General features: G+C 54.7%; 1 annotated feature.

Moving 5' to 3' along the window:
* Positions 9,189 to 10,427: a transcriptional cis regulatory region, noted in NCBI's record as "candidate enhancer chr19.73 targeted for multiplex CRISPR interference". NCBI's record gives its function as "positively regulates BSG gene expression with high confidence in K562 cells {active_cell/tissue: K562}" and the evidence as "EXISTENCE:mutant phenotype evidence [ECO:0000015][PMID:30612741]".

Genomic DNA, 14,648 nt, shown 5'->3' with positions numbered 1-14,648 from the left:
TCGGCCTCCCAAAGTGCTGGGATTACAGGCGTGAGCCACTGCGCCCGGCCCCACGCTCAGTCTTTGGATGCGAATCCAGTGAGCCGGTGACCACCTTAATAAAAATCCTCCTGTTGCCGGGCGTGGTGGTTCACGCCTGTAATCCCAGCACTTTGGGAGGCCGAGGTGAGTGACCACGAGGTCAGGAGATTGAGACCATCCTGGCCAACACTGGTGAAACCCCGTCTCTACTAAAAGTACAAAAATCAGCTGGGTGTGGTGGCGGGTGCCTGTAGTCCCAGCTACTCGGGAGGCTGAGGCAGGAGAGTTGCTTGAACCCGGGAGGCGGAGGTTGCAGTGAGCCTTGATCGCGCCACTGCACTCCAGCCTGGGCGACAGAGCGAGACTCCATCAGGAAGGAAGGGAGGGTGGGAGGGATATAGGAGCTCAGGAGAACCCAGAGGGAAAGTAGGTACCACTTTCCCTCTGTAGGGATTTCCCTTCAAGTAGGATTGAAGGGAAATGCTGTCTAAACCCCTCATGAGGGAAATACTGTCAGAGCTTCATCAAGGAGCTCACTCGGGTCCCCAAGCTACGTGCAATGCAGCCTCGGAGTCTGTGGGTGTGTGGGGATAGAGACCCTCGGAGTCTGTGGGTGTGTGGGATATAGACCCTCGGAGTCTGTGGGTGTGTGGGATAGAGACCCTCGGAGTCTGTGGGTGTGTGGGATAGAGACCCTCGGAGTCTGTGGGTGTGTGGGGATAGAGACCCTCGGAGTCTGTGGGTGTGTGGGGATAGAGACCCTCGGAGTCTGTGGGTGTGTGGGATAGAGACCCTCGGAGTCTGTGGGTGTGTGGGATAGAGACCCTCGGAGTCTGTGGGTGTGTGGGGATAGAGACCCTCGGAGTCTGTGGGTGTGTGGGATAGAGACCCTCGAAGTCTGTGGGTGTGTGCGATAGAGACCCTCGGAGTCTGTGGGTGTGTGGGGATAGAGACCCTCGGAGTCTGTGGGTGTGTGGGATAGAGACCCTCGGAGTCTGTGGGTGTGTGGGATAGAGACCCTCGGAGTCTGTGGGTGTGTGGGATAGAGACCCTCGAAGTCTGTGGGTGTGTGCGATAGAGACCCTCGGAGTCTGTGGGTGTGTGGGGATAGAGACCCTCGGAGTCTGTGGGTGTGTGGGATAGAGACCCTCGGAGTCTGTGGGTGTGTGGGATAGAGACCCTCGGAGTCTGTGGGTGTGTGGGATAGAGACCCTCGGAGTCTGTGGGTGTGTGGGATAGAGACCCTCGGAGTCTGTGGGTGTGTGGGGATAGAGACCCTCGGAGTCTGTGGGTGTGTGCGATAGAGACCCTCGGAGTCTGTGGGTGTGTGGGATAGAGACCCTCGGAGTCTGTGGGTGTGTGGGATAGAGACCCTCGGAGTCTGTGGGTGTGTGGGATAGAGACCCTCGGAGTCTGTGGGTGTGTGGGATAGAGACCCTCGGAGTCTGTGGGTGTGTGGGATATATGCCCTCGGAGTCTGTGGGTGTGTGGGATAGAGGCCCTCGGAGTCTGTGGGTGTGTGGGATAGAGACCCTCGGAGTCTGTGGGTGTGTGGGGATAGAGACCCTCGGAGTCTGTGGGTGTGTGGGATATATGCCCTCAGAGTCTGTGGGTGTGTGGGATAGAGACCCTCGGAGTCTGTGGGTGTGTGGGATAGAGACCCTCGGAGTCTGTGGGTGTGTGGGGATAGAGACCCTCGGAGTCTGTGGGTGTGTGGGATATATGCCCTCGGAGTCTGTGGGTGTGTGGGATAGAGACCCTCGGAGTCTGTGGGTGTGTGGGATAGAGACCCTCGGAGTCTGTGGGTGTGTGGGATAGAGACCCTCGGAGTCTGTGGGTGTGTGGGATAGAGACCCTCGGAGTCTGTGGGTGTGTGGGATAGAGACCCTCGGAGTCTGTGGGTGTGTGGGGATAGAGACCCTCGGAGTCTGTGGGTGTGTGGGATAGAGACCCTCGGAGTCTGTGGGTGTGTGGGGATAGAGACCCTCGGAGTCTGTGGGTGTGTGGGATAGAGACCCTCGGAGTCTGTGGGTGTGTGGGGATAGAGACCCTCGGAGTCTGTGGGTGTGTGGGGATAGAGACCCTCGGAGTCTGTGGGTGTGTGGGATAGAGACCCTCGGAGTCTGTGGGTGTGTGGGATAGAGACCCTTGGAGTCTGTGGGTGTGTGGGATAGAGACCCTTGGAGTCTGTGGGTGTGTGGGATAGAGACCCTCGCTAGGCAAATGTGGATGGTTGCATCGTGTGCAGAAAAGCTAATAAGCAAACCCTAAAGAGGCAACCTCCCGGGGAAGAAACCCAGGGTTGAGGCCATTCCAGGCTGGGCGCGGTGGCTCACGCCTGTAATCCCAGCACTTTGGGAGGCCGAGGCGGGCGGATCACGAGGTCAGGAGATCGAGACCCTCCTGGCTAACACGGTGAAACCCCGTCTCTACTAAAAATACAAAAAAAATTAGCCAGGTGTGGTGGGCACCTGTAGTCCCAGCTACTCGGGCGGCTGAGGTAGGAGAATGGCATCAACCCAGGAGGCAGAGCTTGCAGTGAGCCGAGATGGTCCCACTGCACTCCAGCCTGGGTGACAGAACAAGACTCCATCTCAAAAAAAAGAGGCAACCTCCCAGGGAAGAAACCCAGGGTTGAGGCCGTTCCAAAGTGTTTGGGTTGACTACACTGAAATGCCCCCAATAGCCCACCTCAAACATTTACTGGGAACAGTCAACCATCTCACCCACTGGGTAGAGGCCACCCCCTTCCCGAGCGCAACAGCCAGCAATGTAGTCAGAGGCCTGTGGGAACACGTCACACCCAGGTTTGCACTAATAGAGAACGTGGATTCGGACAAGGGGACCCCCTTCACTGCACACATCATTACGGGGCTAACCCCAGCACTAGGAATGAAATGGGAATATTTCCCTGGCATCCACCCTCATCAGGGAGGGTAGAAAGAATGAATCAAACTCTAAAAAAACCACCTAACCGAATTAATCTTGGAAACCTGGTTACCACGCACAGAATGCCTTCCCTTTGCCTTACTAAGAATCTGAACAGGCCGGGCGTGGTGGTTCACGCCTGTAATCCCAGCACTTTGGGAGGCTGAGGCGGGTGGACCGCCTGAGCTCAGGAGTTTGAGACCAGCCCGGGCAGCATGGTGAAACCCCGTCTCTACTAAAAATACAAAAAAATTAGCCAGGCGTCGTGGCGCCCGCTTGTAATCCCGGCTACTTGGGAGGCTGAGGCAGGAGAATTGCTTGAACCTGGGAGGTGGAGGTTGCAGTGAGCCGAGATCACGCCCACCGCACTCCAGCCTGGGCGACAGAGCGAGACTCCGTTTCAAAAAAAAAAAAAGAATGCGAACTGCCCCTCGGAAAGATCTTGGCCTGTTCCCTTATGAGATGCTCTATGGGCTACCTTATCTGACTTCCACTACTGACCTTCCTACATTTGAAACAAAAGATCAGTTTCTCAAAAACTATATGTGTGGTTTGTCTTCCACCCTTTCCTCCCTCCGGACCCAAGGCCTCCACCCCTCGAATTCCCAGTTCACCGACACCAGCCTGGGGATCACCTCCTTGTCAGAAGTTGGAAAGAGGAAAAACTCAGCCAACCTGGGAAGGACTTTATCGGGTGCTCCTGACCACCAAGATGACGGTCGGAAAGGGCCCCATCCCTGGAGGGATCTTGGACCTTCACTCCAGGATCAACGCCTTCCAAATTAACATTCAAAAAGGTTTAATCTGTCTCTTCCTTCTCCCTGTAGCCGCCCAAGGACGTCTTATTATCAATATAAGGTGATCACCCTTTCCCCAGCTAGTTTCGTTTGATGCCTGTCTGGTTCATATACCCCGTAAAGATATCCACAGCCAAAGACAGCCTCTTCTGAAGAAAATCCTTGGCCCAGCCCTTGTAGTAACCGGTACCCTGGGGTGCCATTCCCTGTTGAAATTCGCTCAGGATGGTGGCAGAAATATTAAAGGGAAACATTAGGTAAAGTTAGAGAAAATAGTCACAAACCGGCCGGGCGTGGTGGCTCACGCCTGTCATCCTAGCACTTCGGGAGGCCGAGGCAGGAGGATCACGAGGTCAGGAGATCGAGACAATCCCGGCTAACATGGTGAAACCCCGTCTCTACTAAAAATACAAAAAATTAGCCGGGCGTGGTGGCGGGCGCCTGTAATCTCAGCTACTTGGGAGGCTGAGGCAGGAGAATTGCTTGAACCTGGGAGGCGGAGGTTGCAGTGAGCCAAGATCACGCCATTGCACTCCAGCCTGGGCTACAAGAGCGAAACTCCGTTTCAAAAAAATAAATAAATAAATAAAGCGCATCGTTACTTCGATCCCAGATAATACAGGCCCTGATGGGACCATCTCGAAAGCCTGACAGGGCCTTACCGACCTAACAAATGAATTAGCCATAAACTCTGGAATAGATGGCCCCTTGATGGGACTGATGGAAAGGTGGTTTGGAAAATGGAAGGGACTCATAACATCAATCTTTTTTTTGTTCTTTTCTTCATTTTTATTTTTATTTTTTGAGACACAGTCTCGTTCTGTCGCCCAGGCTGGAGTGCAATGGCATGATCTTGGCTCACTGCAACCTCCGCCTCCTGGGTTCAAGTGATTCTCCCGCCTCGGCCTCCCAAGTAGCTGGGATTACACGCACCTGCCACCACGCCCGGCTAATTTTTTTGTATTTTTAGTAGACGGGGTTTCACCATGTTGGCCAGGCTGGTCTCAAACTCCTGACCTTGTGATCCACCCGCCTTGGCCTCCCGAAGTGCTGGGATGACAGGCGTGAGCCACCGCGCCCGGGCTGACCTCAATCTTTACCTCCCTCGCAATTGCTACAGGAGGACTCATCCTGTGGGCTGCTGTGTCATACCTTTGTATTCGCGGGTTAACCCAAAGACTCACAGAAGCAGCTCTCACAAAAACCTCCCCTACCTCTCCTGCTCTGTATTCCGATAAGCTCTTGTTCCTAGACGATCAAGAAGAACAACAAAGCCAAATCCTGTTAAAGAAATTTGAAGGCCGGGCACGGTGGCTCATGCCTGTAATCCCAGCACTTTGGGAGGCCGAGGTGGGTGGATCACGAGGTCAGGAGTTCGAGACCATCCTGGCCAACGTGGTCAAACCCCATCTCTACCAAAATACAAAAATAAGCTGGGTTTGGTGGCACGTGCCTGTAATCCCAGCTACTCAGGAGGCTGAGACATGAGAATCGCTTGAACCCAGGAGGCGGAGGTTGCAGTGAGCCGAGATTGCGCCACTGCACTCCAGCCTGGGCAACAGAGCGAGACTCCGTCTCAAAAAAAAAAAAAAAAAAGAAAACTAGGCCGGGCGCCGTGGCTCACGCCTGTAATCCCAGCACTTTGGGAGGCCGAGGTGGGCAGATCACGAGGTCAGGAGATCGAGACCATCCTGGCCAACACGGTGAAACCCCCCCATCTCTACTAAAAATACACAAAATTAGGCGGGCGTAGCGGTGGGCGCCTGTAGTCCCAGCTACTCGGGAGGCTGAGGCAGGAGAATGGTGTGAACCCGGGAGGCCGAGCTTGCAGTGAGCCGAAATGGTGCCACCGCACTCCAGCCTGGGCGACAGAGCGAGACTCTGTCTCAAACAAAATAAATAAATAAATTTGAAGAGGAAGAAGTATAAAACAGAAAAGGAGTAAATTGTTGAGACAACCAAATTCCTCTTACAAAACTCAACTTCCAGGTCATAAGTTGTCAATCAACCCTACCCCCTTCTTCCCCCTAGCCCTCCTCTTCTCGCAAATCTTGCCTTTACCCGATTTGGAGACAGTTTTAAGTCTTAGCCAACCGGGATGAGCTTAGATGAGGGCGTCCAGCCCCAGCCAGCGGGGGAACAGAAGCTCCTTCCTTCCTTCGTCCCGTGAGCTCCGGGGCAGCCCCATTCTGTATAGTAAAGTTGTCTCGCTGGGAAATAGGTTTCTAAGGGCTGGTTTCTCTTTGCGGGACCCAGCACTTATTTCTAACAATTTGGACACAGTTATACAAATAAAATGGTTGCTTTTGGGAGGCCGAGGCGGGCGGATCACGAGATCAGGAGTTTTGAGACCAGCCTGGCCAACAGGGTGAAACCCCGTCTCTACTAAAAATACAAAAATTAGCCGGGGGTGGTGGTGGGCGCCTGTAATCCCAGGAGGCGGCGGTTGCAGTGAGCCCAGATCGCGCCACTGCACTCCAGCCTGGGCGACAGAGCGAGACTCCGTCTCAAAAACAAACAAACAAACAAAAACAGAGAATGAATGGACAGACACAGCATGGCCCATCCACGCAATGGGACACGACTCAGCCGTGAACAGGAGCGAGGCTCGGACGCAGCCCACGGCGCGGATGCACCTTGAGGAAGTCGCACTCAGTGAGAGACGCCAGACACAGAAGGACACACACTGTGTGATCCCATGTCTATGAAATGTCCAGGACAGGCCCATCCACAGAGACAGGGAGGGGACGTGTGGGTGCTGGGGGGCTGAGGAGGGGATGAGGCGCGGTGACTCACGCCTGTCATCCCAGCACTTTCGGAGGCCGAGGCGGGCGGATCACCTGAGGCTGGGAGTTCGAGACCAGCCTGACCAACATGGAGAAACCCCGTCTCTACTAAAAATACAAAATTAGCCGGGCCTGGTGGCGGGCTCCTGTAGTCCCAGCTACTTAAGAGGCTGAGGCAGGAGAATCCTTTGAACCTGGGAGACGGAGGTTGCAGTGAGCCAAGATCGCACCACTGCACTCCATCCTGAGGAACAAGAGCAAAACTCCGTCTCTAAATAAATAAATAGGGTGATGTGCGTAACCGAGGGGCCAGCACACGGTGGGCAGGGGCAGAAAACCCCATCCAGGGCGAAGGCTGGGCCCAGCCAGGGTGGGAAGATGCTGGGGGCCGAGGGCCTGGACGGGGCTGAGGGCTTCACTCTGGGAGACCCCCGCTTCCCACTCTGGGAGACCCCCTCTCGGGGATGGCTTCGGATCAGGGGACTTGGAGCCTCAGAACCACCGGTGCCAAAGAGCTCCCACCTGGGGGGCCACAGGCTTGGAAAGTCCTCATGGGGGCGGGGGGTGGAGGGGGAGGGTCTGAAGCTACGTGCAGAACGAGGACACAGACGCGGATGAGGCCCAGCAGGGCCAGCTGCCTTCAAAGCCCCTCCAGGGTTGTAAACAACCACAGGGCCTGGCCCAATTCCTGCCCCCTCCGCAGCCCTCCCCTGGCAAGGCCCCAATCTGGCCTGAGGTCAGTTCTCCTGGGAACTTGGTCTTTGTTTACAAAATAAAGCCTGTGGCCGCCTTCAACACCCTGTTTCCTGGTCCCTTCCCTGGAAAGCCTTCCCTGACCCTCAGGCAGAGCCAGGGACCCCCTTGCCCCCGACCCAAAACCCCCGAGCCTGCTCTGCTCAGTTCTGGCCCCAGAAGCAAGAAGATCCCAGTCCTCTTTTATCTGCCAAGGAGAGGGTCTTCAGGACCACCCCCTGTAGGGCCTCATTTAGCAAATAAAAATACCCAGTTAATTTAAATTTCAGAGTTTATTTTATTTTATTTTTTTTGAGGCAGAGTCTCGCTCTGTCACCCAGGCTGGATGATCTCGGCTCACTGCAAGCTCCGCCTCCTGGGTTCAAGCGATTCTCCTGCCTCAGCCTCCCGAGTAGCTGGGACTACAGGCGCCCGCCACCACGCCTGGCTAATTCTTTGTATTTTTAGTAGAGACAGGGTTAACCATGTTAGCCAGGATGGTTTCGATCTCCTGACCTCGTGATCCACCTGCCTCGGCCTCCCAAAGTGCTGGGATTACAGGCGTGAGCCACCGCGCCCGGCCTATTTTATTTTATTTTGAGACACAGTCTCATTCTGTCACCCAGGCTGGAGAGCAGTGGTGTGATCTCTGTTCACTGCAACCTCTGCCTCCCGGGTTCACGCCATTCTCCTGCCTCAGCCTCCCGAGTAGCTGGGACTACAGGCGCCCGCCACCACGCCCGGCTAATTTTTTGTATTTTTAGTAGAGACAGGGTTAACCGTGTTGGCCAGGATGGTCTTGATCTCCTGACCTCGAGATCCGCCCACCTCGGCCTCCCAAAGTGCTGGGATTACAGGCGTGAGCGACGGCGCCTGACCTTGGCATCGTGATTCTTCAAACCTAAATCCTCCAGCTTGTGACTTCTGAGATACGAAGGAGAAACCATCAAGTTCAATAAGGGGCCAGGCGTGGTGGCTCACGCCTGTAATCCCAGCACTTTGGGAGGCCGAGGTGGGGCGGATTACTTAAGGTGAGGAGTTCGAGACCAGCCTGGCCAGCATGGTGAAACGCCGTCTCTACTAAAAATACAAAAATTAGCCAGGTGCGGTGGTGCGTGCCTGTAATCCTAGATACTCGGAAGGCTGAGGCAGGAGAATCGCTTGAACCTGGGAGGCGGAGGTTGCAGTCAGCTGCACCACTGCACTCCAGCCTGGGCAACAGAGAGAGACTCCATCTCAAAAAAGAGAAAAAAAGGCCAGGCACAGTGGCTCATGCCTGTAATCCCAGAACTTTGGGAGGCCAAGGCGGGTGGATCACCTGAGACCAGCCTGGCCAACATGGTGAAACTCCGTCTCTACTAAAAATATAAAATTAGTGGGCGTGGTGGCGGGCGCCTGTAGTCCCAGCTACTCGGGAGGCTGAGGCAGGAGAATTGCTTGAACCCAGGAGGCAGAGGTTGCAGTGAGCTGAGATTGCGCCACTGCACTCCAGCCTGGGTGACAGAGCGAGACTGTCTCAAAAAAAAAAATTCGAGAAGGGCCGTATGGCTGAAAATGTCTCTTGAATCAAATTCCCCTGCCCCGACCTCAGCCTTTGTGGACCTTTCTGTTTGGGGTCCCGGGGCCCCCACTTTGTCAGCGACCATCGTGCCTCTGCGCTTTGTTCTGGGACCGAGCCTGGGCACCGGCCTCTCCACAGGCTCATCCAGCTGCCTGAGAATCCTGGGGCCCCACGCTCAGCAAGGATGAGGACAGCAGCTTCCCCACCTCAGGGCGTACGTGGGCATCAGATGAGGCCTTCTGGCATTTACCACGGGACGACAAGCGTCTGCGTCTTCCCAGGGAGAACGGTGCCCCCCAAAACTCACGCCCACCCAGAACCTCAGAATGTGGCCTTATTTGGCAGAGGTAGTTAGGATAAAGTTGTAAGGGTGGCCCTGAGGCAATGGCTGGCATCCTCATCAGAAGAGGGACATTTGGACTGAGACATGGGGAGACGTCCCTGCGGGGACAGAGGCAGAGACTGCAGCAATGTGGACACAAGCCAAGGACGCCTGGCGCCCCCGGAGCTGGAGAAGGCAGGAGGACTCCTCCGTGGGGCCTCTCAGAGAGCGGCGCCTGCCCACACCTTGACCTCAGACTCCGGGCCCCAGGACGGGGAGGGGCTGCCTTCTGTTGTTTAAGTCACCCAGCATGTGGTCCCACGTCACTGTCAAGCTCCCGGGTGACACCTGTCCAGTTTAAACCACCTGAGACCAGAGCTCTGCCCACCGGCCACCCGGAGATGCTCACTCGGCTGTTCCCTTTTACACCAGGAGGAACCAGCGAGGGCTGGCAGGGCGCAGTGGCTCACACCTGTCATCCCAGCGCTTTGGGAGGTCGAGGCGGGAGGATCACTTGAGCCTAGGACTTTGAGACTCCATTAAGCAACATACTGAGACCCCATCTCGGCAAAATTACAAACATTAGCCAGGCGTGGTGGTGCACACGTGTAGCCCCATCTCCTCAGGAGGCTGAGGGAAGGGGATTGCTTGAGCCCAGCAGTTTGAGGCTGCAGTGAGCTAGGATTGCACCACTGCGCTGCAGCCTGGGTGACCCTGTCTCAAAAAAAAAAAACCACGAAAACACAGACGGAGGGGTGGAGGCTTCCAGGGCACTGCGTGTCCCACACAGGGTGTCAGCCTCCTGCTGGTGGCTGGTTCTGTGTCTCTAAGTCCCCAGTCACTCACCGGGGCTGGGGTGGGGACATCTCAGCACAGCAGGAGGGAACCACTGATGAGGCACGTCCGGGCTCAGAGATTAGCTCTCTCCCCGGGGCGTGGCTCCAGCTCACCAAACACCAGCCTGGCCTGGCCTCCACTGATCTCTGTCCAGTTGGAGTCACCCCAGGACCCAGTGGGTGGGGTGGGTGGGGTGGGGCGGTGCCCTGTGACCTCTGGAGGAGGCTGGAGAGGAAGCTCAACCCTTGCCTCTGAGCATTTTTTTGTTTGTTTTTTTGAGATGGAGTTTTTTGCTCTTGTCGCCCAGGCTGGAGTGCAGTGGCGCAATCTTGGCTCACTGCAACCTCCGCCTCCCGGGTTCAAGCGATTCTCCTGCCTCAGCCTCCCCAGTAGCTGGGATTACAGGCATGCGCCACCACGCCCGGCTAACATTGTATTTTTAGTAGAGACGGGGTTTCTCTGTGTTGGCCAGGCTGATCTGGAACTCCCGACCTCAGGTGATCCGCCCGCCTCGGCCTCCCAAAATGCTGGGATGACAGGTGTGAGCCACCATGCACGGCCGCCTCTGAGCATTTCTGACGGGTCCACCCCACTGGGCTGGATGCTTCCTCCTTCCTAGCCTCCCTGCCTCTACATCAGGGTCTCCCTTGAGGATGTCAAGGAATAAGGAAAATCGCAGCTTCCGCTGGGTACGGTGGCTTACACCTGTCATCCCAGCACTTTGGGAGGCCGAAGCGGGTGGATCACCTGAGGTCAGGAGTTCGAGACCAGCCTGACCAACATGGTGAAACCCCATCTCTACTGAAAATACAAAAATTAGCCGGGCGTGGTGGTGGGTGCCTGTAATCTCACCTACTCGGGAGGCTGAGGCAGGAGAATCACTTGAACCCGGGAGGAGGAGGTTGCAGTGAGCCGAGATTGCGCCACTGCACTCCAGCCTGGAAACAGAGACTCCGTCTCAAAAAAAAAAGCAAACAACAACAACAAAAAAAAAAAAAACAAAAAAAAAAACACCACAGCTTCTTTTAAGCACGTGCAGGGGCCGTGTGACTGTGGGACGTGACAAGGAGCTTCTGTCCAAGTTTCCGTGCGGGAAAGAAACACAAACGTCTGCGAAGTTCACAGCAGCCCAGGTCACGGCAGCCAAAGGTGGAAACAGCTCACCCATCCCTCGAGGGCAGTGAGTGGACAGAGGCAACGTGGTCCAGCCGTACCACGGAAGGACACCCCACCCCAAAATAACAGCACCAGGACGTGCCACCCCAAAGTGTACTTGTCCTGCGTCGTTCGAGCTGGTGACTCCCAGAAACCGCAGGCTCAGGACTAGCTCTGGACAAGTGCTCTTTTGTAAAATAAGTTCACGTCCACGAAGGACATCCACGCTGGCAACACACCTGCACCAGGAAGAGGGAGAGGGCTGCCCCGGGCAGCTTTCATTGCCAAGAGGCCTGGCTTTCTTTTTATCTTTTCTTTATTTGTTTTTATTTTTAATTTTAATTTTTTTGTATTTTTAGTAGAGACGGGGTTTCACCATGTTGGCCAGGCTGGTCTCGAACTCCTGGGCTCAAGTGATCTACCAGCCTTGGCCTCCAAAAGTGCTGGGATTACAGGCGTGAGCCACCGTGCCTGGCCTTTTTATCCTTTTTTTTTTTTAAAAAAAAATGAACACATGCCGGGCGCGGTGGCTCACGCCTGTAATCCCAGCACCTTGGGAGGCTGAGGCGGGCGGATCACGACATCAGGAGCTTGAGACCAGCGTGGCCAACATGGCGAAACCCCGTCTCTACTAAAAATACAAACAGTAGCCGGGCGTGGTGGCGGGTGCCTGTAATCCCAGCTACTCGGGAGGCTGAGGCAGGGGAATCGCTTGAATCTGGGAGGCGGAGGTTGCGGTGAGCCGAGATCGTGCCACTGCACTCCAACCTGGGCAACAAGAGCAAAATACTCTGTCTCAAAAAAAAAAAGAACACATAATAATTGTACATATTCATGGGGTACATAGTGACGTTTCAATACATACAATGTGTGCTGATCAGACATTAACATAGCTAGAGTTGCAAACATTTATCATTTTTTAAAAAATTTTTTATTTATGGTTTTTTTGTTTTTTTTTTTCTGAGACGGAGTCTCGCTCTTGTCGCCCAGGCTAGAGTGCAGTGGTGTGATCTCAGCTCCCTGCAACCTCCCTTTCCCGGCTTGAAGTGATTCTCCTGCCTCAGCCTCCCAAGTAGCTGGGATTATAGGTGCCCACCACCATGCCCAGCTAATTTTTTTTGTAATTTTCGTAGAGACAGGGTTTCACCATGTTGGCCAGGCCGATCTTGAACTCCTGACCTCGTGATCCGCCCGCCTCAGCCTCCCGATGTGCTGGGATTACCGGCGCGAGCCACCATGCCTGGCCATGAATGAACAATTTAAAAACCCAAAGGGGCTGGGCGTGGTGCCTCACCCCTGTCATCCCAGTACTTTGGGAGACCAAGGCTGGCGGATCATGAGGTCAGGAGTTCAAGACCAGCCTGGCCAATCTGGTGAAACCCCGTCTCTACTAAAAATACAAAAATTAGCCGGGCGTGGTGGCGCGTGCCTATAGTCCCAGCTACTCGGGAGGTTGAGGCAGGAGGATTGCTTGAACCCAGGAGGCGGAGGTTGCAGTGAGCCGAGATTGCACCACTGCACTCCAGCCTGGGCGACAGAGCGAGACTCCGTGTCAAAACAAAAACAAAAACAAAAAACAAAAAAAGAACCCAAACAGGCAGGGCCCATCTCTGGGGTTAGAGACTGGACTTGGGGCGGGGCGCAGTGGCTCATGCCTGTAATCCCAGCACTTTGGGAGGCCGAGGTGGGTGGATCACGAGGTCAGGAGATCGAGACCATCCTGGCTAACACCGTGAAACCCCGTCTCTACTAAAAATATTTAAAAAATTAGCCAGGCGTGGTGGCGGGCGCCTGTAGTCCCAGCTACTGGGGAGGCTGAGGCAGGAGAATGGCGTGAACCCAGGAGGTGGAGCTTGCAGTGAGCCGAGATTGCACCACTGCACTCCAGCCTGGGGGACAGAGCGAGACTCGAATCTCAAAAAAAAAAAAAAGAGACTGGACTTGGGTACTTGGCTAAGGAGGGGCTTCGGGGCAGGGGGTTGTGTCTGGACCCAGGTGCCGGGAACAGGGGCGTGCCTGGTTTGTGAGTTATGAGGCTCTTCACTTGTGACCTGAGAACCTTCCACTGCCAATGATGCCATAAAAAGTTAAAGATTAGGCCGGGCGCGGTGGCTCACACCTGTAATCCTTTAGGAGGCTGAGGTGGGAGGATTGCTGGAGCCCAGGAGTCTCTAAAAAAATAACATAAAAAAATTAAAAAAGTTAAAGATTAAAAATGCACTTGCCTCTCCCAAAAACACTGTGACTCCAGTCCAATCGAGAGAAAAACATGAGATAGCTGGCGGGTGCAGTGGTCCACACCCGTAATCTACATAAATCCCGTCCAGCCGGCCTCCAGACACGGAGTTCTGAGAAACGGTCGGAGCCTGGGGGTGCCGAGGAGAGGCTGCGGCGAAACGGCAGGTTCGGTCCCGGGTGGGACCCTGTGCAGGAAGAGACATTAGGGGAAACTGAGGAAATCCGAGCCAAGAGTAGGTCCTTAGTAGTTAATCACGCATTCATGTGAGTTCGTCAGCCGTGACTCCTGCTGACTGGAGAGGGGAGCGGCCAGGAGCCTGGGGGCGGGGACGCGGGGGACCCTGTGGATACAGCCGCCACACATCTCCTGCAGACCAAAAATGGTTTTAAAAATTAAGTCTATTACAACACTAACCCGGCCGGGCACAGTGGCTCATACCTGTAATCCCAGCACTTTGGGAAGCCGAGGCGGGTGGATTATTTGAGGTCAGGAGTTCGAGACCAGCCTGACCAATATGGTGAAACCCCGTCTCTAGTAAAAATCCAAAAAAATTAGCTGGGCTTGGTGGTGGACCCCTATGATTCCAGCTACTTGGGAGGCTGAGGCTGCACTCCAGCCTGGGCAACAGAGTGGGAACTGTCTAAAAATAAAATAAAATAATAAAAAACCATTAACGTGGGCACAGTGGCTCATGCCTGTAATCCCAGCACTTTGGGAGGGCGAGGTGGGCGGGTCACCTGAGGTCAGGAGTTCAAGACCAGCCTGGTCAACGTGGTGAAACCTGTGTTTCTATTAGTCTCTACTAAAAATACAAAAAAAGTTAGCTGGGCGTGGTGGTGCACGTCTGTGATCCCTCAGCTACTCAGGTGGCTGAGACACAAGCATCGCTTGAACCTGAGATGGCTTGCAGTGAGCCGAGATCGTGCCACTGCACTCCAGCCCGGGTGACGCACTGAGACTCCATCAGAAGAAAAGAAAGGAAAATAAAAGAAAAAAAGAAAAGAAAAGAAAGAAAGAAAGAAAGAAAGAGAGGAGGGGAGGAGAGGGGAGGGGAGGAGAGGGGAGGGGAGGGGAAGGGGAGACGGGGAAGAAAGGAAAGAAAGGAAAGAAAGAAAGAGAGAGGAGGGGAGGGGAGGGGAGAGAAGGGGAAGGGAGGGAAAGAGAAGAAGGGGAAGGGAGGGAAAGAGAAGAAGGGGAAGAAAGGGAAGAAAGAAAAGAAAAGAAAGAAAGAGTTGGTAGTGAAATTAAAAGATTCTGCAGGAAAACAGCG

This window comes from Homo sapiens, chromosome 19 (assembly GCF_000001405.40).
Source record: "Homo sapiens chromosome 19, GRCh38.p14 Primary Assembly".
Taxonomy (NCBI): Eukaryota; Metazoa; Chordata; class Mammalia; order Primates; family Hominidae; genus Homo; species Homo sapiens.
Note: the sequence above shows the minus strand (reverse complement) of the source record. Positions and strands in the feature narration are given on the sequence as shown.